Source organism: Homo sapiens, chromosome 9 (genome assembly GCF_000001405.40).
Source record: "Homo sapiens chromosome 9, GRCh38.p14 Primary Assembly".
Taxonomy (NCBI): Eukaryota; Metazoa; Chordata; class Mammalia; order Primates; family Hominidae; genus Homo; species Homo sapiens.
Genome location: NC_000009.12, coordinates 13028165 through 13053119, shown reverse-complemented (window position 1 = coordinate 13053119; position 24955 = coordinate 13028165). Strand labels below are relative to the sequence as shown.

At 39.9% G+C, this 24955-nt stretch overlaps 1 pseudogene, besides 1 other annotated feature; it reads left to right on the top strand.

Annotated features, from left to right (window-relative positions):
- Positions 1-3365: 3365 nt before the first annotated feature.
- The window catches only part of LOC100130801 (lupus La protein-like), a 28279-nt pseudogene continuing 6689 nt past the window's right edge, over positions 3366-24955 (top strand).
- Positions 15035-15551: an enhancer, noted in NCBI's record as "H3K27ac-H3K4me1 hESC enhancer chr9:13037568-13038084 (GRCh37/hg19 assembly coordinates)". NCBI's record gives its function as "activates a minimal SCP1, AML or CMV promoter by ChIP-STARR-seq in primed H9 embryonic stem cells {active_cell/tissue: H9 hESC(primed)}" and the evidence as "EXISTENCE:reporter gene assay evidence [ECO:0000049][PMID:30033119]".

Here is a 24955-nt window from a genome sequence, read left to right as displayed (position 1 = left end):
AAGGGAAGGACTTGGGCAAGGACCTCCTGCATAGCTTCAGGAGGGGCTCAAAATACAACCTACTAAAGGATCTAGAACGCTATCTAGTGAATGGGTTGGGGGCTGCCTCCAAGAGGAGACAAAATGTGGCTTGGCGACTCACTCACTTGTGACTTATCAACAGGACTGAGGGAGAATCCACACAAGAAGGATCCTGAAAACACCCAGAACATACATTGGGCAAAAAGATGGAGCAGTTCAATCAGTGTAGATTCACCGTGGTTGTGTGTTCTTCATAAATTTCTTCCCATTGTACATTGTCCCACCCTGGGAAGTCCCAAGGCCACTTTCTCGGAAGTCTCCAGCCAATGGCTGAACCCATATTCCCAGCCAATTCTAGGGCCTGGCCATTTTTGGAAGACAGCTCCCATCAGCAGTCTTCCGTTTGCAGCTCCGGTTGGGCTGGCAGAAACTTTGTCTGAGGCCCCCTGCCCAATCCTGCACCTTTTGGTTTCTTTTCACAAGGGTCATAACTGCATTGTGATCTGATGGTCTTTCTTGTTCAAATCTGCTTCCTTCTCCTGTTGTCTTACACAGGCAGCATCACCCCTCGTATCCCCAATAAGCCCCCTGCTCTCCAAATATTGTTTTCATGTCTGCTTCCAAGTGACATAGTTCCTTAAATACTTTCCTTTTTCTTCCTTTCTGTGATTGCTTGGAAATATTAGCTTCTCCCATCCTTTCCTGTGAAATTTTTAGATTCTCTGGCCATAGAATCCTGCATATTTCTACTCTGAACTGCATATTTCTACTTTGCTAAAGTCTATATTATCACAGACTCTAAAATGATATATCTATGCTCTCATTTTCTTAAGTCATTCTGTTCCTTCTTCAATAATAATCACAAGTTTAAATGTAACCTAAATCTAATAATTTTAGAGTTTTAGCCACCTTGGCCAACCCTGTTCGCTTCTTTTATTGATGCTATGATTTAGCTGAGGGCTAGAGTGCTTAAGTGATTCATCTCAAATTGCAAGAACTATAAAATTAATCTCCTTCATAAGTCAATTGTCTCATGAGAATTTCTTCACTTTCATGACATTTCTCATAAAATAGTTTCAGATTCGAGCTCTAGACTGCTAATTTACTAATCTTATTAAATTACTTCTAATGCATTTAACTAAGATTATTTTACTCTTCTGAGGTTTGATGGATTCGTTCCCTAAATATGATGAGTGCCTTCTCCTTGTGATAATATATTCCATATATTCCAGGGAAAGCTGTCAATGGCTAGATCAGCAAGGAACAAGATGATCATGGAAATCTCATTAAAATATAGATAGATAGATAGAAAGATAGATAGATAGATAGACAGATAGATTTATTTAATAAGTCTAGCCAGCAAGCTAATAGGACAATGTGGCATCGAAAGACGTTACGTGAAAGTGTTAATTTAGAATAAAAAATGAATTTAGATAATCTATGGAATATCTGCTGAACGTATCTTTTTTTTCCTGTTTTATCCATAGCTGCTCCCTCCTTCCCTCTTCATCCAAATGGCTATACTTCTCTGATTGTCCATTATTTGATCAACTATTAACCCCAGGAAACAGAATCTAGAATTTCCTAGGAAGGTATTATTAGCCTCCTTTATCGTGCAGACACTGTGGTGCATCTTGGGAAGAGAAACTCAGATTAGCTACCAAAAGGTAAGGTAGAACCAGCGGGTGCCTATTCAGACTTGGGTAGGAGACAAGAAGGGTGGCAGTTTTCAACAATTAGACTTACAGTCTTGAAAGGATTAAATAGGTACACACCCAGTTAATTTGCCTTCAGGAGGCCTGCAAGCGATTTTCTTCCCCTAAGCAATTCTGTCAAATGTATCCATGTTTTCATCAACTGCTGAAATAATTTTTTCTATTCATTGTAGGGTTGGTTATACTGTACTTTTTTGTGTTAATAAGTATTTACCCTCTTACCTTATACTATTACAATCATTAACTGCAGTGTGAAAATATACTAGTTATTACTGTCCAACTTTCGTTAGCACAATAAGGCAGTGGAGGTGAAAAAAAATTACATAAAAAGCACGCAGCCAGAGTCTCCTGCCGAGGAGCAGGGCACTGAATTCATGACATTTAGCTTCTGTGCCCAACAGCTACATCCTGTGGTTTTACTGAAGGAGAATAGTGATCAGCCCAAGGAACATTAGATTCTTGAGAATTGCACATCATGGAACTGAAGAAAATGAGAAATTGGAGCAAAAATATCTGTGAGTTACTTTTTCTTCCTTTCCTTTTCCTCTTTTTTAATGAAAGAAATTTTACTGTGGGTCAGGAAGGTGTCACATGTAAAATAGCCAGAGGTAAGAAAGGTAGCTTCTGGTCAGTGGCATCCATTGGAAGGTTGGTTACCACAAAGAAAAAATGTACAACATAAGAGCTAACCATAAGGAAAAGTGAAAGAAAATATTGGTAAATGATAAAAAATTATTAAGGAGGAACAAATGCATGTATACATGGCTCTGTTACTTAAAAAAAAGTCATATAGCTGTCAAAACACTTCAGGGGTGTTGAGGATAAGCAGTATCTTGAACATGACTTTTTTTGTACATAATATTATAAATGAAACAAAAATCTGGGGAAAATGTAGCAAGTGCAGCCTTTTAACTATGCAGTATGTTAATGTGTCAGATGGATTGTACAGTTGAACAGCTTGAGGAAATGGTAGTATTTTAATAATATTATATGTTAACCTGGCCTTTATAAGTAATCTCTGTTTACCTGCAAGATGTTATTAGCTTACATACATGAAATGTAACTTCTATAGATACTTTTCTCCACTTGCTTTAAAAAACATTTATTAGCAAATTAGCATTAAAATAGCATTAAGCGGAGAAATTAGATTAGATTTTGTGGAGCAGGGAGATGTTGCTTACTGATGACAAAAACAGGTGATAATAGATTTGTCATGGTGGAATGTAGGTTCTAGTAATTCTGTATCATTTGACATTTTTAAATCATGAGAGTTAAAAAGCCAATGTTGGCTCAAATTTCTTAATATTTGCAAATGAAATGCAGCAATAATGCAGTATCTTGGAAGTATATGCACAGTTCTGATTCTTTTTGCTTGTTCGAGAAGCCATTTCACACACATTATGAAAGAAAGGCCAGTGGCACTGATGAAGAATCTGAAATATGAAAGATTGTCTGTGATTTGCTTTAAGCTATACTTATTTAGGCTCCTCGTGAAGGGTGTATTCCAAAATCTACATGTTTTTACTCTACTTCAGTGCTTTTCCTTTTTTCACCAACTAATTTCTGTCTATACATAAACCATCTACATTGATCGGCTTGAAAATACCTTAATCCAATGTTCCCGGGAAGATGACTATGCTGACTGCTACACCATATCTCTCAACAGCATTTTCTCTAAAACTGATGTAGGTCTTGTCCACTACAATGAATTATGCATAACTGGCAGGCTATTTGTTGGCATGGAAAAAATCTGACATGTTAGATTAAAATTAAATATCGAGTAGGCTTTCTCCTAGTGGCATGAATTAAACAAAGATGCTTCTTTTTCACCAGTGGAGTATGAAGGCCTCCAGTTGTGAGTGTTTGCACAAGGGAATTTTACTGTCACAGCATGGTGCAGAACGTTGACTACATAATGCACGGCTCAGCCCTCTGCTGCTAGTTGGTTTCACAAGGAAGTCCCAGCAGTTTCTAGAAATGACTCGGTAATTAGGATCTTTGGGGAGGCTTTCCTGCCTTTTTCACATATCCCTGCGGCCTGTGGCTGGATGGTGCCGAGACTTAACCCACAAGCTGTCATTAGGGGCAGACCTGAAACAAATTACAGTAATGATGGCAACCACAAATCTCCTACTAAAATTCCCCAGACGAAGCCCTTTCCTTCTCCTTATCCAGGAAAATTCAGTAAGCAGGCACACTGCAGAAGAGCTTATTGAGCGAATATGTCGGAAAAGCTAAAAGCCACTTTGATAGGCCAGATGAGGGAAGAAAAGAAATTCGATAGCTGCTGAACAAACTAACAAATCTGCTCAGAAAAATCTCAACTCCAAATTTAATTTTCATTTGTTGGTTTATTTCCTTATTAGTTCCTTCTTTCTTCTTTTTAGTAACACATTGGAAGATAATTACAATATGGTCTGTACTTTCAAAGCAAAATAAATGAAGCACTAAAAGAGAGGTTATTTTAGGATATGTCTATTGCAAACTTTACTCCCCCAAACTGACCCAGTCTTTTCAAGATGCTGGGTTAGAATCTTTTACGTCCTTCTAATGATACTGTAGCTGACATTAAGCCTGAGACTTGGCTGGGGATAAAATAAGTCCATTCTGTTGTAGGGTGTGTAATTGAGTGTGGACTTCTCAGCTACCCAGAGGTTCCCTTTCATATATACGTGTGTGTATATATGTGTGTGTATATATATGTGTGTGTATGTGTGTGTATATGTGTGTGTGTATATGTGTGTGTGTATAATATGTGTGTGTATATGTATATAATATGTATGTGTGTGTATGTCTGTGTATATATGTATATATACATAAACACATACATAGGACCACTGTCTGATGATGTTTCAGTGCCGCCTGAGGGCTTCTAAGCGTAATAAACACAAACAAGAATTCGGCTTCATATGAAATAATTCACTATACAGGAGCAAAGCTGGATGCATGACTCAAAGAATCTCTGAAGTCAAGATTAACTGCCAGTCATCAGGAAACCCAAAGTCATTTAAAGTAAGAGGTGCCACAAGCCAGAAGATAGAAGCCATAAACACATACAATATTAATAAAGCAATTACAGTAAGTGGTAGAACATTCTGCTTTGCAAATCTCTTGCCACTTTAAGAAACATCTGTCTCCGCCAGTAGAAATTACTGATAAAAAAGCCAAACCAAACCAAACAAGCTGTGCTTTGTGTTTTAGCTTTGCATTCAGTATCTTGATCGGTTAGTCTGCTGCCAAAGCTTCAATACCAATTTCATAGCCTATTCCCTGGGTTGGTTTTTCAACCAATGTAGCCAGCTGTGCTTATAGTAGGCAGAGGAGCAATTAGCTAATCTGCTGCATTGTGCAAACTGTCTGAATCCAATCACACATAATGTCTCCAGAGGGTGAGTAAGAAATTCAAGTGACCAGATGAATCCTTATTTAATAGAAACTGGCTTGAGCCTTAGCCAACCCAGTTCTTGAAAGTTGTTGGTTCCTTGTTTTTACAAAAATAAAATATCATGTTTATTTACACTGCACATGTAAGTTACTTTGTTAGTGATCAATAAAACCCAGACCTGGCTGGGAGACGGGGGAATCCTGGAGACAGACGAACACATGCTGTGGAATATTTTATCCTGAAATAGCACCTGGTTTCTTAGAGAATAATTGAGAAGAAAGGAACCATACCCATAAGTAATTATTGAGCTTAAGTGGGCTCTTCCATTAAAAAAGAAACAAAAACAACAAAACAATGTGATTCGAGAAAAGAGGGAATGAAGATTTGCTTCAGTCCAGAAGAAACGTAGAAGAAGGTAATGGGACCGGGTGCAGTGGGTCAGGCCTGTAATCTCAGCACTTTGGGAGGCCTAGGTGGGAGGATCGCTGGAGGCCAGGAGTTTGAGATCAGCCTGGGCAACACAACAAGGCCCTATCTCTACAAAAAATTTGAAAAATTAGCTGGGCATGGTGGTGGGTGCCTGTAGTCCCAGCTACTTGAAAGGCTGAGGAAGGAGGATAGCTTGAGCTCAATAGTTCGAGGCTGCAGTGAACTATGATCACACCACTGCATTTCAGGCTGGGCAGCAGATTGATACCCTGTCTCTATCAAAAAAGAAAAAGAAGAAGAAGAAGGTAATTGCGGTTTCTTAAATAGAGGTTTATAACAGAAGATACAATTTCAAAGATCTACTCACTTGGAACTGTGAATAATTGGGTTAAAGAACCAACCACTCAAATATTTGTTAGAAATCCTCAAGGGTCTACTTAGATCCCTTTTTCACACTTACCACAAAATTCTGATTTAATTAATCACCAAATGTCACTTCTTGCTCTACGTCTCCTAAAATAGGCTGCCTCTTTTTATCCATCTTCCCACTAACTTGTTCAGGCCATCTTTGTTTTTACCAATACTATACAATCGTCTGCTGAATGAACTTCCTACCTCTGGGGTCTTTCTCCTTTGATCTTTTCCTCAGATTGGTACCAGGAAGATCTTTCAAAAATTCAGGCCTAATGTGTTATTTCCCATTTAAGTCCCCTCAGTGGCCCCTCATCAGGTACTGAACAAAGCTCAATCTCTTCAGTTGGCCCGCAAAGCCCATTGTCTAAGTTTTTGGCTTCCCTTGTCACTATTCCCCACATATGATCCTTTCCTTCTAGACCTCGCAGTTCCCAGAATACACTGCTCTTTGGGGTCTGGCAACGTGTATTTCTTTGGCAGCCATTCCTTTGCCCTTCACTTTTGTCCACCAGGCCAATCACTTCTTATCCTCTTCTGTCCAGCCTATTAGGTAACCTGGGGCAAACTTGGTAGTCACATCACTGTGTGTGCACCTGCTTTAGAGCACCATTCTCAGTATATATAAAGCACAGCGTAACAAAGTGGAAAGAACGGAGCTTTGGAACGAAACTTTGATGTAAATCTTAGCTTATAACCTTCTTCCTATGGCAAGTTATTACACTCTTTCCCATTTGTTAAATAGGAACGTGAATGCCTAAGTTTTGTGAGGATTAGCAAAAACGTATATGAAGCTCTCCATGCTGAACTTGACTCATAGTCAGTGCTCAACATGACAGCCATAGTATATGATATTATAACTGCTTCTTTAACCTATTTATGCTATGACCTGCTTGAAAACAGACGTTATCTCTTTTCATTTTTATTTTTTGTTTGTTGTTCGTCTTTCTGGCTCAGCACCTGTCAAAGCACCTGACGTACAGAAAGTGTACAATAAAAATCTGCTCAAAGGATCAGGAAACAAATAAAGGATACATGAGTGATGAAATCTCTAAATTTTAGAACATTTGGGAATTCTTGCTACAGTGGGATTGGAAATAGTGACATTGAGACTGTCTACGAATCTCAAGCACGTTTAAAACACCATCATGTTTTCTGGTTCTGTAGCTTTCTTGTGCTGACAAATGAGCATATCTGGTAGCTGTGTGTTTTCTGAAAGGATAGGCTACTAACAACCTGAAATTAAAGCTTCCTGTGTAGCACGGCCCAGCATTATCTTCCCTTTTTTCTCTAGTTGTGTGAGAATTGAATCTGTGATACCTAAATAGTATTGCATTTTCACACTTGGGTGGAGCACAGAGTGTGAACAAGGAAGGGGAAAGAGATGGAGATGACGGGTCAAGTAGAGGTGAGACCAAAGAGCACCTTGAAGTACACATTTATAACTTGGACATGACCCCATGGGAGACTTATTAGTGGGTTTAATCAGGGAGATGAGAGAACTAGAGGTCTGCTGTAGATACCTTGTGTACGGAAAGTAAGCATAGGATGATTCTGAAGAAAGAAAATCTAAAGAGGGACATGAGTTAGGAGGCAGCTGAATAATAACCATGGTGACAAGGACATGAACTAAGGCAGTGGCCAGGGCCAGCTGCAGGGGTGTGTGAGCTGTGCAGTGACACAGGGCCCCACCTTTAGAGGGCTCTGGTGTTTGGTTTAATGCTTTCTTGTCACTGTCTTGAAATTCTTAATAATTTTTTAAAAAGAGGCCCACATTTTCATTTTGCAGTTGGTGCGCAAATTGTGTAGCTGGTTCTGGCAGAGATAGTGAAGAAAAGTCATGACAAATGAGGCGATACTTACAAAGACGCGTGTGCTGCTCCTCTTTGCTTTTCCGTGTATGTGACTTCCTTGATGCCCAAGGGCAACTCCCTGCCTGATCTGGGTGGTGTAGGGTGTTAAGGTGAAAGGAGTGGAGATTTAAGAATTTTATTAATTTAAAAGTAGAAAATTAATCTTTAGTCTTTGTTCTTCAATAAAGAAGTTTTGACATCTTATCCAGGCAATAGAAAGTCAGAATTTATTGAGAGAGAAAATGATAATTTTCAGTTTTTTTTCCAATGGTTAAAACATGAAATTGTATTCTATACCTAAAATAGGGGCAATATCACGCAAAGGAAATGAGTAGTCCAAAACCAATTTCTTCTAGTTGGAGGGATTTTGTGGCAGCCAAACATCAGAGGGAATCTGAATGGGAGAGTGGCCTCCTGGCTCTGAGCTTTCCATCCTGGGCGAAAGCTCAAAGGCTGCAGAATGACACAAGAGCAAAGATGACCATGAGAGCCTGCACTATCAGCACCTCAGCAGCTGCCGGTGTTTCCAGAAGATGGGTGCCTGCTTATTCCCCATGGCCCACCCCACCCAATCTCCTAAACTTTGAGGTAGTCATCGTGACTTTGGAGCAGAAGATTGTTCCTTGACAATCCCAGCAGATGGCACCTGCAACATATAGACTAATTTTCAAACTATGTGGTTAGGGCTGCAGGTCTCGTAGAATCATTGTGATACCATAGCCAATAGTTCCTTAATTTTAAAGCTCTCAGCCCTTTGGACTTGAAAAGATGAAAGACAGTGTGCTGCCACTCAGGTATTTCAGTCACTTACAACTGGGGAGAAGTTGGGGTACAGTGGATGGAATATTGGGGAGGCAGGGCGGTTGAATCCCTTCAACATACTTCACTGCCATGGAGCAAGATATCTGAAAGAAATGTAGGGATACAACAATAATTAAGAATTTGTTTTCACATTTTAACTTTGGTCATAGTTTTCAAGTTTCTAAATTCTTCATGTATTTCCTAGTGAAATATCTCATGTGGAAAGAAACACAAACAAGACTGAGAATACACCTAAGATTGAAAACATTTGAAAAGTAAAATGTGGCAGGTGTGTGGTTTGTTTTTCAAACATTCTGTACACATATATTGTGAATATATCATTAAAGTGGATAGAGGAGTAAGAGAGAGAAGTAAAGAAAAATGAATTTGTTTTTAATTTTTTAATAATTTAAACATAATTAAAATAACTAGATAGTATTGTTCCATCAAACCTAGTCTATGGAGAAGTATTTAGTAGCTAACAGTTAAATGAAATGGAAATTAGTATTTTTAAGAAAAGCTCCCGAAACATTTTTGAAGTTATGGGTTGCTGATCATAAGTATGTACATTTTTTTTCAATTTTTTATTTTTTTATTTTTATTTTTTATTATACTTTAAGTTTTAGGGTACATGTGCACATTGTGCAGGTTAGTTACATACGTATACATGTGCCATGCTGGTGTGCTGCACCCACTAACTCATCATCTAGCATTAGGTATATCTCCCAATGCTATCCCTCCCCCTCCCCCCACCCCACAACAGTCGCCAGAGTGTGATATTCCCCTTCCTGTGTCCATGTGATCTCATTGTTCAATTCCCACCTATGAGTGAGAATATGCGGTATTTGGTTTTTTGTTCTTGCGATAGTTTACTGAGAATTATGATTTCCAATTTCATCCATGTCCCTACCATGGACATGAACTCATCATTTTTTACGGCTGCATAGTATTCCATGGTGTATATGTGCCACATTTTCTTAATCCAGTCTATCATTGTTGGACATTTGGGTTGGTTCCAAGTCTTTGCTATTGTGAATAATGCCGCAATAAACATACGTGTGCATGTGTCTTTATAGCAGCATGATTTATAGTCCTTTGGGTATATACCCAGTAATGGGATGGCTGGGTCAAATGGTATTTCTAGTTCTAGATCCCTGAGGAATCGCCACACTGACTTCCACAATGGTTGAACTAGTTTACAGTCCCACCAACAGTGTAAAAGTGTTCCTATTTCTCCACATCCTCTCCAGCACCTGTTGTTTCCTGACTTTTTAATGATCGCCATTCTAACTGGTGTGAGATGGTATCTCATTGTGGTTTTGATTTGCATTTCTCTGATGGCCAGTGATGATGAGCACTTTTTCATGTGTTTTTTGGCTGCATAAATGTCTTCTTTTGAGAAGTGTCTGTTCATGTCCTTCACCCACTTTTTGATGGGGTTGTTTGTTTTTTTCTTGTAAATTTGTTTGAGTTCATTGTAGATTCTGGATATTAGCCCTTTGTCAGATGAGTAGGTTGCGAAAATTTTCTCCCATTTTGTAGGTTGCCTGTTCACTCTGATGGTAGTTTCTTTTGCTGTGCAGAAGGTCTTTAGTTTAATTAGATCCCATTCATCAATTTTGGCTTTTGTTGCCATTGCTTTTGGTGTTTTAGACATGAAGCCCTTGCCCATGCCTATGTCCTGAATGGTAATACCTAGGTTTTCTTCTAGGGTTTTTATGGTTTTAGTTCTAACGTTTAAGTCTTTAATCCATCTTGAATTAATTTTTGTATAAGGTGTAAGGAAGGGATCCAGTTTCAGCTTTCTACATATGGCTAGCCAGTTTTCCCAGCACCATTTATTAAATAGGGAATCCTTTCCCCATTGCTTGTTTTTCTCAGGTTTGTCAAAGATCAGATAGTTGTAAATATGCGGCGTTATTTCTGAGGGCTCTGTTCTGTTCCATTGATCTATATCTCTGTTTTGGTACCAGTACCATGCTGTTTCGGTTACTGTAGCCTTGTAGTATAGTTTGAAGTCAGGTAGTGTGATGCCTCCAGCTTTGTTCCTTTGGCTTAGGATTGACTTGGCGATGCGGGCTCTTTTTCGGTTCCATATGAACTTTAAAGTAGTTCTTTCCAATTCTGTGAAGAAAGGCACTGGTAGCTTGATGGGGATGGCATTGAATCTGTAAATTACCTTGGGCAGTATGGCCATTTTCACGATATTGATTCTTCCTACCCATGAGCATGGAATGTTCTTCTGTTTGTTTGTATCCTCTTTTATTTTCTTGAGCAGTGGTTTGTAGTTCTCCTTGAAGAGGTCCTTCACATCCCTTGTGAGTTGGATTCCTAGGTATTTTATTCTCTTTGAAGCAATTGTGAATGGGAGTTCACTCATGATTTGGCTCTCTGTCTGTTGTTGGTGTATAAGAATGCTTGTGATTTTTGTACATTGATTTTGTATCCTGAGACTTTGCTGAAGTTGCTTATCAGCTTAAGGAGATTTTGGGCTGAGACGATGGGGTTTTCTAGATATACAATCATGTCATCTGCAAACAGGGACAATTTGATTTCCTCTTTTCCTAATTGAATACCCTTTATTTCCTTCTCCTGCCTAATTGCCCTGGCCAGAACTTCCAACACTATGTTGAATAGGAGTGGTGAGAGAGGGCATCCCTTTCTTGTGCCAGTTTTCAAAGGGAATGCTTCCAGTTTTTGCCCATTCAGTATGATATTGGCTGTGGGTTTGTCATAGATAGCTCTTATTATTTTGAAATACGTCCCATCGATACCTAATTTATTGAGAGTTTTTAGCATGAAGGGTTGTTGAATGTTGTCGAAGGCTTTTTCTGCATCTATTGAGATAATCATGTGGTTTTTGTCTTTGGCTCTGTTTATATGCTGGATTACATTTATTGATTTGCGTATATTGAACAAGCCTTGCATCCCAGGGATGAAGCCCACTTGATCATGGTGGATAAGCTTTTTGATGTGCTGCTGGATTCGTTGTGCCAGTATTTTATTGAGGATTTTTGCATCAATGTTCATCAAGGATATTGGTCTAAAATTCTCTTTTTTGGTTGTGTGTCTGCCAGGCTTTGGTAACAGAATGATGCTGACCTCATAAAATGAGTTAGGGAGGATTCCCTCTTTTTTTATTGATTGGAATAGTTTCAGAAGGAATGGTACCAGTTCCTCCTTCTACCTCTGGTAGAATTCGGCTGTGAATCCATCTGGTCCTGGACTCTTTTTGGTTGGTAAGCTATTGATTATTGCCACAATTTCAGATCCTGTTATTGGTCTATTCAGAGATTCAATTTCTTCCGGGTTTAGTCTTGGGAGGGTGTATGTGTCGAGGAATTTCTCCACTTCTTCTAGATTTTCTAGTTTATTTGCATAGAGGTGTTTGTAGTATTCTCTGATGGTAGTTTGTATTTCTGTGGGATTGGTGGTGATATCCCCTTTATCATTTTTTATTGTGTCTATTTGATTCTTCTCTCTTTTTTCTTTATTAGTCTTGCTAGTGGTCTATCAATTTTGTTGATCCTTTCAAAAAACCAGCTCCTGGATTCATTAATTTTTTGAAGGGTTTTTTGTGTCTCTATTTCCTTCAGTTCTGCTCTGATTTTAGTTATTTCTTGCCTTCTGCTAGCTTTTGAATGTGTTTGTTCTTGCTTTTCTAGTTCTTCTAATTGTGATGTTAGGGTGTCAGTTTTGGATCTTTCCTGCTTTCTCTTGTGGGCATTTAGTGCTATAAATTTCCCTCTACACACTGCTTTGAATGTGTTCCAGAGATTCTGGTATGTTGTGTCTTTGTTCTCGTTGGTTTCAAAGAACATCTTTATTTCTGCCTTCATTTCGTTATGTACCCAGTAGTCATTCAGGAGCAGGTTGTTCAGTTTCCAAGAAGTTGAGCGGTTTTGAGTGAGATTCTTAATCCTGAGTTCTAGTTTGATTGCACTGTGGTCTGAGAGATAAGTTTGTTATAATCTCTGTTCTTTTACATTTGCTGAGGAGAGCTTTACTTCCAACTATGTGGTCAATTTTGGAATAGGTGTGGTGTGGTGCTGAAAAAAATGTATATTCTGTTGATTTGGGGTGGAGAGTTCTGTAGATGTCTATTAGGTCTGCTTGGTGCAGAGCTGAGTTCAATTCCTGGGTATCCTTGTCGACTTTCTGTCTCGTTGATCTGTCTAATGTTGACAGTGGGCTGTTAAAGTCTCCCATTATTAATGTGTGGGAGTCTAAGTCTCTTTGTAGGTCACTCAGGACTTGCTTTATGAATCTGGGTGCTCCTGTATTGGGTGCATATATATTTAGGATAGTTAGCTCTTCTTGTTGAATTGATCCCTTTACCATTATGTAATGGCCTTCTTTGTCTCTTTTGATCTTTGTTGGTTTAAAGTCTGTTTTATCAGAGACTAGGATTGCAACCCCTGCCTTTTTTTGTTTTCCATTTGCTTGGTAGATCTTCCTCCATCCTTTTATTTTGAGCCTATGTGTGTCTCTGCACGTGAGATGGGTTTCCTGAATACAGCACACTGATGGGTCTTGACTCTTTATCCAATTTGCCAGTCTATGTCTTTTAATTGGAGCATTTAGTCCATTTACATTTAAAGTTAATATTGTTATGTGTGAATTTGATCCTGTCATTATGATGTTAGCTGGTTATTTTGCTCGTTAGTTGATGCAGTTTCTTCCTAGTCTCGATGGTCTTTACATTTTGGCATGATTTTGCAGCGGCTGGTACCCGTTGTTCCTTTCCATGTTTAGCGCTTCCTTCAGGAGCTCTTTTAGGGCAGGCCTGGTGGTGACAAAATCTCTCAGCATTTGCTTTTCTGTAAAGGATTTTATTTCTCCTTCACTTATGAAGCTTACTTTGGCTGGATATGAAATTCTGGGTTGAAAATTCTTTTCTTAAAGAATGTTGAATATTGGCCCCCACTCTCTTCTGGCTTGTAGGGTTTCTGCCAAGAGATCTGCTGTTAGTCTGATGGTCTTCCCTTTGAGGGTAACCCGACCTCTCTCTCTGGCTGCTCTTAACGTTTTTCCCTTCACTTCAACTTTGGTGAATCTGACAATTATGTGTCTTGGAGTTGCTCTTCTTGAGGAGTATCTTTGTGGCGTTCTCTGTATTTCCTGAATCTGAATGTTGGCCTGCCTTGCTAGATTGGGGAAGTTCTCCTGGATAATATCCTGCAGAGTGTTTTCCAACTTGGTTCCATTCTCCCTATCACTTTCAGGTACACCAATCAGACGTAGATTTGGTCTTTTCACATAGTCCCATATTTCTTGGAGGCTTTGCTCATTTCTTTTTATTCTTTTTTCTCTAAACTTCCCATCTCGCTTCATTTCATTCATTTCATCTTCCATTGCTGATACCCTTTCTTCCAGTTGATCGCATCGGCTCCTGAGGCTTCTGCATTCTTCACGTAGTTCTCGAGCCTTGGTTTTCAGCTCCATCAGCTCCTTTAAGCACTTCTCTGTATTGGTTATTCTAGTTATACATTCTTCTAAATTTTTTTCAAAGTTTTCAACTTCTTTGCCTTTGGTTTGAATGTCCTCCCGTAGCTCAGAGTAATTTGATTGTCTGAAGCCTTCTTCTCTCAGCTCGTCAAAGTCATTCTCCATCCAGCTTTCTTCCGTTGCTGGTGAGGAACTGCGTTCCTTTGGAGGAGGAGAGGCGCTCTGCTTTTTAGAGTTTCCAGTTTTTCTGTTCTCTTTTTTCCTCATCTTTGTGGTTTTATCTACTTTTGGTCTTTGATGATGATGATGCACAGATGGGTTTTTGGTGTGGATGTCCTTTCTGTTTGTTAGTTTTCCTTCTAACAGACAGGACCCTCAGCTGCAGGTCTGTTGGAATATGCTGCCATGTGAGATGTCAGTGTGCCCCTGCTGGGGGGTGCCTCCCAGTTAGGCTGCTCGGGGGTCAGGGGTCAGGGACCCACTTGAGGAGGCAGTCTGCCCGTTCTCAGATCTCCAGCTGCGTGCTGGGAGAACCACTGCTCTCTTCAAAGCTGTCAGACAGGGACATTTAAGTCTGCTGAGGTTACTGCTGTCTTTTTGTTTGTCTGTGCCCTGCCCCCAGAGGTGGAGCCTACAGAGGCAGGCAGGCCTCCTTGAGCTGTGGTGGGCTCCAGCCAGTTCGAGCTTCCCGGCTGCTTTGTCTACCTAAGCAAGCCTGGGCAATGGCGGGCGCCCCTCCCCCAGCCTCGCTGCCGCCTTGCAGTTTGATCACAGACTGCTGTGCTAGCAATCAGCGAGACTCCGTGGGCGTAGGACCCGCCGAGCCAGGTGTGGGATATAGTCTCGTGGTGCGCCGTTTCTTAAGCCGGTCAGAAAAGCGCAGTATTCGGGTGGGAGTGACCCGATTTTCCAGGTGCGTCCGTCACCCCTTTCTTTGACTCGGAAAGGGAACTCCCTGACCCCTTGCGCTTCCCGAGTGAGGCAATGCCTCGCCCTGCTTCGGCTCGAGCACGGTGCGCGCACCCGCTGGCCTGCGCCCACTGTCTGGCACTCCCTAGTGAGATGAACCCGGTACCTCAGATGGAAATGCAGAAATCACCCGTCTTCTGCGTCGCTCACGCTGGGAGCTGTAGACCGGAGCTGTTCCTATTCGGCCATCTTGGCTCCTCCCTCCAAGTATGTACATTTTTTAATGTCAGAAAAATCTTTCCACAGACTTAAATTATCGGGAAGAAGTTTCTTTTTTCAAGGCAGAGTTGCTTAAAATGGATTGGATGATTTCCAAGATTTTCAAAATAGGTTCTGATCTGGCTTGAGACATTTATACATATTTTTCAAAAACAAGACACTTTTGGGAAAATTAAATAAGATTAGAAGATGAGGCTTTCTGAGCAAGAAATGGGTTTTACAAATTAACTATTAAAAAGCCTACTTACTATAAATTCAATTTAATCCCAGTGAAATCCAAAAAGGTATTTTTTCTTTTTTGGTGGAAACGGAAAAGTTAATTCTGAAATTTACATGCAAATGAAAAGTATCTATAAGAGACGATACTACCCGTCAAAAGAACAATGTTGGACGACTCACACTATCTGACTTTAAGACTATAAAATGATAGTAACCTAAACAATATGGCGTGAGCAGGCAAGGAGATGGTTGGAACAAAATATATGCCATTAATTAATTTTCAACACAACGTAAACAGTCAACAATTTTTCAGTTAATGCTGTTTAATGGAGAAAGAAGTTTCTTTTCAACAAATAGAGCCACAACAACTACACAAATGTGGGGAAAAAATGAACTTTAATTCTTACAGCATATGCAAAAATCAGTTTAGGATAGATTATAGTTTTAGCTATGTGGTTAGGGCTGCAGGTCTCTTAGAATCATTGTGGTACCGTAAAACTATAGAGCTTCTGGAGGAAAATGCAATATTTTTGCAGCTTTAAGTTTGGGTGGATTGCTCAGAGGGGACACAAAAAGCAATAAATATAAAGGAAAGAGTTAAAAATTTGACTTTACCTGAATTAAACTTCCATTGATTGAAAGACTGTAGAAAATGAAAAGTGGTCCGGGCATGGTGGCTTACACCTGTAATCCCAGCACTTTGAGAGACCCAGGGGGTGGATCACTTAAGGTCAGGAGTTTGAGACCTGCCTGGCCAACATGGTAAAACCCCATCTCTACTAAAAATACAAAATATTAGCCAGGTTGCAGTGATCGCCACCTGTAATCCCAGCTACTTGGCAGGCTGAGGCAGGAGAATGGCTTGAACCTGGGTGGTGGAGGTTGTAGTGAGCCGAGATTGTGCCACTGCACTCCAGCCTGGGCAACACAGTGAGACTCCATCTCAGAAAGAAAAAAAAAAAGAGGAAATGAAAAGTGAAGTCACAGATTGGGAGACAAAGTATTTGCAATACATGTATCCGACAAACGATTTATCTCTCCTAAAAATGACATAAAAAACTCCTAAAAATCAATTTAAAAGAAGAAAAATAGCCTAATTTTTAAATGAGCAAAAGACAGATACTTTTCTAAAGGAAGATCCCTAAATGGCCAAGTTCATGAAAAGAAGCTCAACATCAATTGTTATCTGGGAATTGAAATTTGAAGCCCAAATGAGGTACCACTACACACACACAACAATGGCTAAAATTTTAGAATTGACAATGACAATATCCAGCACTGCTGAGGATGTGAAGAAACTGGAATTCTCATACATGTGGTGGAAATTGTAAAACTGTTCAACCACTGTATGGGGTTGAATAGTGTCCCCCAACTTCATGTCTAACTGGAACCTCAGAATGTGACCTTATTTGAAAATGGGATATTTACAGGTGTAATCAAGTTATAATGAGGTCATGCTGGTTTAGAATGGGTCCTAAATCAAATGACTGGTGTCCTTATTAGAGGATGGAAATTGATACACAGAGACACAGAGGAGACATACAGGGAAGAGGCCAAGTGAAGACAGATGAGCTTGAGGCAGAGATTGAAATTATGCTGCCACAAACTAAGGAATGCCAAGGGTTGCCAGCAACCACCAGAAGTTGGAAGGGGCAAGGAAGGATTCTTTCCTAGAGCTGTCAGAGGGAGTGTGGCTCTGAGAACACCTTGATACTGGACTCCTGGACTCCTGAACTCAGAGAATAAATTTCTCTTGTTCTGATCCACCCAGTTTTTGGTATTTTGTTATGGAATTCCTAGGAAAGGAACACCACCACTTTGAAAAATGTTGGCAGTGTCTTGTAATATTAAACACCTACAACTTCCCTATGACCCAGCAATTCCACTCTTAGGTATTCACCTAAATAAAAGAAAGCATATATCCACACAAATACATATATAAGAATGTTTATGGAAGCTTTAGTGATAGTAGTCAAAACTGGAAACATTTTAAGGATTTACGAAGAAAACGAATAAAAAATTATGTTCATATAGTTGAACACTATTCAGCAATAAAAGAATAAAGTACAAATGCACTCTACAGTGTGGATGAACATCAAAAATATATTGGGCAAAAGAAGCCAGACACAAAAAACGCATGTATACTGTGTGAGTCCATTTACATGAAGGTCAAAGTCAGGTAGAAGTGTTCTCAGGTAATAGAAACCAGTGAGGGCAGGGACTGGCCTGAGAGATCATGAGGAAACATTCTCACGCATTGGAAAAGTCATGCGTCTTGATTGTGGCAGTGTTTTACATTAGTGTATACACATTTGTCAAAACTCACTGGATTATTTCCTTAAATGAATACACTTTATTAAATGTAAATTATAACAAAACATAAACCTTGGAGCAAGCCCTCGTATATAATGCTTGCCTCAATCAAAAAGAAAAGAAAACCCCACTTTAAAGACTGAATTAAAAACTTCTATCCCCATTCCCTTTCTTTCTTTCTTTTTTTTTTTTTTTTTTGAGATAGGGTCTCTCTGTCATCCACCCAGGCTAAAGTGCAGTAGCGTGATCATGTCTCACGGCAGCCTCGACCTCCTGGGCTCAAGTGATCCTCCCTGCTCAGACTCTGTAGCAGCTGGGACTACAGGCACAAGCCACCATGCCGGGCTACTCTTTCCATTTTTTAAAACTGCATTAGTTATCTACTTTCTAAACTCACTTTTAATTCTTAACAGGTAAGTGATTATCATGTAACTTATTTTTGTTCTCCAACTTTTCCAATCTGCACTGAACGTAGCAATCGTCTGTAACTGTCTACTTCTTCTGTATATGTTGGCAAAGGCTTAGGTTTCAATTTCCCTAGCTGAGGGGATTATAATGACTTAGGACACCATTTGCTCTCTTGGTTATTTTGCTTAGGAAGGATAGGTACTTGCAGGGGCCAATGAAGGGCAAAGTAAAAATAACTATCCTGAACTACAGATACACAATTTAAACAGCATTCAAAATGTTCTTCTAAAAAAAAAAAAAAAAGGAGTACACAGAATTTGGCCTGTCACAGAACAAAGAAAATACCAGCTTCAGGTGGACAGTACCCCAGTTCCGTTCTGACAGCTTCTTGGCAACTGTTAATATGTATGGAGCTTGAATGGATGGGTAGGAGGGAGGATCGGAGGGGAAACAGCAGAAGAATGGGGGCAGAAGAGGAGAGGGAGGGACGTGGAGGAGCCCAGGGATCCACACTGCTCAGCTGCTTCTGGGTTTACGGTGCAGCGCGAGCGCCATCATGTGCTCATCTCTGTAACTTCAGCGGAAGAAACGCGTTTTTCCCCGCCACTGCATTTGAGGAATGGAAAAATAAACCAAAATCGTTCATCGGGCCTGAGAAACCTTGAGAAGCATATTACCCTACGGTTGTTTTTTCATCGAAAAGTTGAAGGATTTCTGACATCTCAATTAGTAACGCATCTGGAATGTTTGCTCTCCAGGTACCTATTATTTGTTCCTTCACTCATCAAATATTTATTGAACGCTATGTGCCAGACACATACAAGCAGGAGAAAGGCAGGCGTGGTGGTCTAGTGGGGCAGACAGACATGTGAACAAATGGCTACAGCAGTCTGATAAATATTCTAATGCAGGAATGAAAAGAACATCTGGAAGCTAAATGAGAGCATTTAATATTTGACAGAGACGTTCAGTGCTATAATCTAATTATTGTATTGAAAACCTGTGTTGATCCTATTACTTGTATCACTTGTCCATAACCTCTTTAAAATCTGGCTAAAATTATTAATTGGTTGATTGATTCAAATTATTTATTGAGAGCCAATTATGTGCCAGGTACTACCGCTGTATCACTATTACTCGTATCAATTTTGTCCATAATCTATTTAAAAATCTGGCCAAAATTATCAATTGATTCATTGATTCAAATTATTTATTGAGAGCCAGTTGTGTGGTAGGTACTACTGTTGGTGCCGAGGGATACAGATAAAGATGGGAAAGACAGAAAACAGTTCTTCTTTTGTTAAGCTTAACTTCCATGTGTGGAAAGTGAACCATCAAGAAAAAAATGTTTTCTGTCTGTCTTTGATACAAAAGCCATTTTCTTGTTTATTGCCTGTTTATCTATGTTATTATTTCCTACTTTCCCTCTATAGCGTTTATTCCCCACTTTTTCTAAACAGTTGTTTCAAACTATTTCAGGTTACACTGAGAGTTTAAACAAGCATAGCTTTCTTAATGGCTTTGGAAAATTTACTTAACTTCCTATTGCTCAGAGGAGCACCAGGGTTTTAGTTAGTAGTTGAGCCATGAAGTGGGAATTTGGGAGGAGATTTCTAATCCTGGCCCTGTTATAGTTTCATTTGTCTGGTTTACCTCCCAATCTCAGCTTTTCCTGGCCACTTCAGGGTCATGCATATAATAAATATTAGGGCCAGGCGCAGTGGCTCATGACTGTAATCCCAGCACTTTGGGAGGCCGAGGTGGGCAGATCACGAGGTCAGGAGTTTGAGACCAGCCTGACCAGCCTCATGAAACCCTGTCTGGACTAAAAATACAAAAAATTAGCTGGGCATGGTGGCGCACGCCTGTGATCCCAGCTGCTCAGGAGGCTGAGGCAGGAGAATTGCTTGAACCCGGCAGGCAGAGGTTGCAGTGAGCCGAGACTGTGCCATTGCACTCCAGCCTGGGCGACAGAGTGAGACTCTATCTCAAAAATAAATGAATAAATATGAACAATCTCTGATAATTTTAGACTCAAAAACAGCAGGTAGTAGGAAGCTGGAAGAACACTTGTGTTCATACCCAGCCTCTAGGCCTCAGCGATCGCAGCGTTCAGGGAGAGCGGCAGCCTCCCTCCCTGAAGTCCCATGTGGAGATGGCCCTGCTCCAACAATGAGGCGCCGGAGCGGGAAAAAGGAACTCCTCTAATGACATAAAACAAGTGAAAATTTATATGATCAGATGAGCTAACAAGCTTGAAAAAAAAATGTGATCTTAATGAGCAGAGCATATTTGTTAACAATGATTGGGAAAATAAACCTGCTTTATGGCTATGTTCTCAAGGCGTTGCGACTCTTCACTAAATCATCCTTGTCTCATCTTGTGTTAGGTTGTTCACTTCCATTGCTCACACGTGCTCAGCCCACACAGTTGGTGTGTATAATGGGGTCATATACTACCGCTGAAAAAATTCAGAAAGTTCTGCTTCAGTTCTGCTTTTGCCAAATCACTGTGGCCTATACGTCAAGGAAGAGGGACCTAGGAAGCCCAGAGTTTTCCATTACTTTCCCTACCAAATCAAAACACAACCCAACGCCCATGCTTGTAAGCATATCGGCTTCCGGTTCAGCTTCTTTGGAAGATTCTTTTCACTTCCACTGACATTTGCAGGGAGAATTATATTAAACTGAAGCTAATAAGACCATGTGTTACTTCATATAAAATATAATTGTAAATACAATCCTTGGCAACTATTTATTTTACCTCCAGGTGTCTCGAGTGTTAAGCACCAAACTATCTTTATTTTCTTTATGAATTTATAGGAAAATGTCTTTATGGTCACAGTACCATTTTGAGAGAAAAGAAAAAAATCTTTCTTTAAAACAAACAAACAAACAATTCTTGTGGTCAATAATTGAAATTATTCTCTGCCTAAATTGCTCTATATTTACATGACCTAAAAAAAATTGGAACTTATGTAAACATGATGACAAAATTAAAATGTTATTTTCTGCCAGGCACGGTGGCTCATGCCTGTAATCCCAGCACTTTGGGAGGCTGAGGTGGGAGGATTGCCTGAGGTGAGGAGTTCAAGACCAGCCTGGCCAACATAGTGAAACCCTGACTCTAATAAAAATACAAAAATTAGCGGAGCGTGGTGGTGGGAACCTGTAATCCCAGCTACTTGGGAGGCTGAGGCAAGGAGACTGGCTTGAACCTGGGAGGCAGAGGTTGCAGTGAGCCGAGATTGCACCACTCCACTCCAGCCTGGGCAACAGTGTGAGACTCCAACTCAAAAAAAAAAAAAAGAGAGAGAGAAAACTGAGTCACAGAAAAGATAAGTAACTTTCACAGAGTCACACAGAGAGTAAGTCGTGGAGGCAGGACAGTCTTGTTTGGTACTTTTAACCTCAGTGATAACCTAATTGTCTCTACAATCTTCATCTCCCTTCAGCTTTGGCTGTCTGCAGAATGTGTCTTCCTGATTAACCCACCAGCTACTCAAACTTAACTTGTTCCAGATGGAACTGAGAATCTGTTCTGATTCACCTGCTGCCTCCACCCTTAACTTTGACTGCCTTCCCCCTCTTTCCATTCTGATATTTTGATAACAATATTATCATGCTTGATTTTTGTTTTTGTTTTTGTTTTTGTTTTGTTTTTTTTGAGACGGAGTATCTGTCGCCCAGGCTGGAGTGCAGCCTCCCGAGTAGCTGGGACTATAGGCGCCCACGACCACGCCCAGCTAATTTTTTTTTTTTTTTTTTTTTTTTTTTTAAGTAGAGATGGGCTTTCCACCGTGTTAGCCAGGATGGTCACGATCTCCTGACCTCGTGATCCGCCCGCCTCGGCCCTCCAAAGTGCTGGGATTACAGGCGTGAGCCTCCGCGCCCGGCCCATGCTTGACTTTTCTGTACCTGTGAGTGCTTGCTATAAACTTGGCCCTGCCTGTTGCCATATTCTAGCAGTGAAACAGCTTGAGTCTCTCCTCTTTCCTTTTCCCACTGTTGTCTCTTAGACACTGCTCCACTGTCTCCCTTCTCCAGTTAATTCTAAACTACACTGGTACCCAACAAAGCTTACAAAAATATACTGCTAATCTTCCCATGCCCTACTAAGAAAGCTTTAGTAGCTTCCTTATAAAATGAGTAATAAACTCCTAAAGTTTTCACTCTAGGCTATTCATATCATAACCAAAATTTTGTTTCAATCCTTATTGCCATTTCATCCGCTGTCCTTGCCTGTCCTCAGTTTGCTTGTTATAATGTTATTTACTTTTTTGTTGTTATTTCTGATTTATCACCTTAATACCAACCCACTGCTTCCAACTCAATATTTAGTATCTTTCCCATGTTCCAGATATCTGGCAATTTCTCTTGTTTGGCAAATTCTTCTTTAGTAATCTTTCATATCTTCCCTTGGCTGTTCATTTCCTTTGCTGTTGTTGAGGTTCAAGCATTCTTGCCTAGGCTAGAGCAATACTTTCCCAACTACTCTGTGTTTTCTTTCCTTCATTAACTTTACTCAGCATTATCACTGTCAGGGTAACACTATCAAAACAGACACTTTTACCCTGTATGTTTCCTGTACGAAAATTAAAATGGCTTCTTATTTATTATAGATCAAACTCTAAACAGGCCAACATGTTGCACAACTACAGGAGGCTCCATTCAGGTTTTATTCTATTGGAGTCTTCAAACTTCTTAGTTTGCCATGAACAGCATTTTGCAAACCAGTAGTAGAGATATTATTAGAGTACAACTGGCCTCTCCTCCCCAATGACTCCCAACACAGACATATACAACTAACCCCAAAAAACAACCATCATGTTCAGGCACGTCAGAGAAGCATTGAGTTGAATAGGTTCTCCTTACTGTGGACTTTCAAGCATCTCTAATTTGCTAATGTGTATTATGAATCTCCACATGGGAAATTTATGGAAAAGGTTCTTTTTTTCTTATCACTTTTAGACATGTCCCAGGATGCCAGAGTTCTACAACCTAGACTTGAGGAAATCCTGCCCTGCACATTCTCTGCCCAGCCATTGTCCCAGGTCAATTTCTGATGAGCTTTCTGATGCCAGCTCATTAAAAAGGTCTTCCCTCACCATCCTGGTTGAAGTGGCTATTCCTCCCTGTGCCGTCATCCTGTTTTATTTTCCTATAATGCTTATCACAATTTGATGTGATGATTTTTTTTCCCATTACATGTTTGTTGCTTTTTTACTCTATAATATTAAATCTAAAGGACCTGACATTCTATCTTGCTTTTTTTTTTTTACTGTCTCTCCACCTATGATAGTATCCGATTCACTAAATATATTTTATTTTTATTTATTTATTTGTTTTAAGGAATAGATGTACCCACCAAAAGCCTTGCTTGCAGCCACCTCCACGTCTCTCAACCTGCCTGAGTGCAGGGCTTATGTTACAAGGAATTCTCAAAGCTGTGTTATCAAAGCTGTGAAATCAAAGTCTCTACCCCTCTGAAGTTTACCCGGATGGCCTGACTCATCCCAGAGTAAGTTCTTATTCTATTGCACTTCTATTAATATAGTATTAGTATCTGAACTCAATTTATTTTGAATAATTAATATTTTTTTAAAATAGAAATGCTACCTTATTTACCCAACTATAATGTATCTGTCTTGTGGCCAGGAATGGTGCCATACTTTGATATTTTTGAGGATCTAGTAGAGAGGGCTTCTCTTAAGGTAGGTAAACAATAGATATTCCCCCTCTACTACCTCTAAGGATGCAGCGTGATGCTTACATGTGGAGTCTCCATTCCAATAGGAGGAATAACCCAGACATTTCTGGAAGGAGGTAGATAGTAGGTTGCATAGCAGGAGAATCTCAGAGACTTGCTTCTGGCTGTCTCATACACACCATTTCCTGGATATTACAGATATTTTCTAAGTCTCCCCTGTAAGCTATGTGGATCAGAAATTGGGGGAAAAGTCTCCTTTGGGCCTACAGTTTTGAAAAGGAATTAGAAGAGTCTGATCAGTCATGAACAGAGGAAATACAGACCTTTCAAGGGAGCAAAGGAAAATTTGCCTCTTCTCAGTTTGCAGAAAGATATTTCCTACTTACATGGAAACTTTAAAAAATGTATGTACTATGCTGTTTAAGGGACATGTTCCTTTGCAAAATGCTTAATTTACATTATTTCAAGGTGTTTCTACACATGCCATTTTATATCAATATGTAAATAAGACAGATGGAAAATACGGAAGCCATAATATACTCAGTAGTATCTCTGATGGCCAAGAACTTTAACAACTCAAATAAAATACACATTGTGGATTGTACTTGGTGGAGATGCTATACATTCTCCCCTTTAAAATCCTTTATTGCTTTAAAAGAAGTAGCTATAATTGCCAGGAGTGGGGGTGAAAAGGTATAATGAAGGAGTTAGGAAAAGAGGGGAGTTTAGAATAAAATAATAGACTATGAATGAAAATGCTTGTGTCATGTATACATTTGTCTTAAATTCAACACAGACAGCAGAACCTCTCCAGCGTAAGGGCTTTGGGTTGAGATGATACGTCCTGTAGGAAATCGATAGCCATGTGCATTTTAATGTAAGTCACTTAAACATTAATCCATCTTCAAAATCACCATAGGCATTCCATTTCTTACTTTTATTTCGAAACGAGATGTTCTTTGCCGAGACAGGTTGAAGCATTTGGTTTCCACCCAAATGATGTGGATTGAGACCATCTGGAGAATCTACCCTGGCTTTTTTTTTTTTCTTTGTTA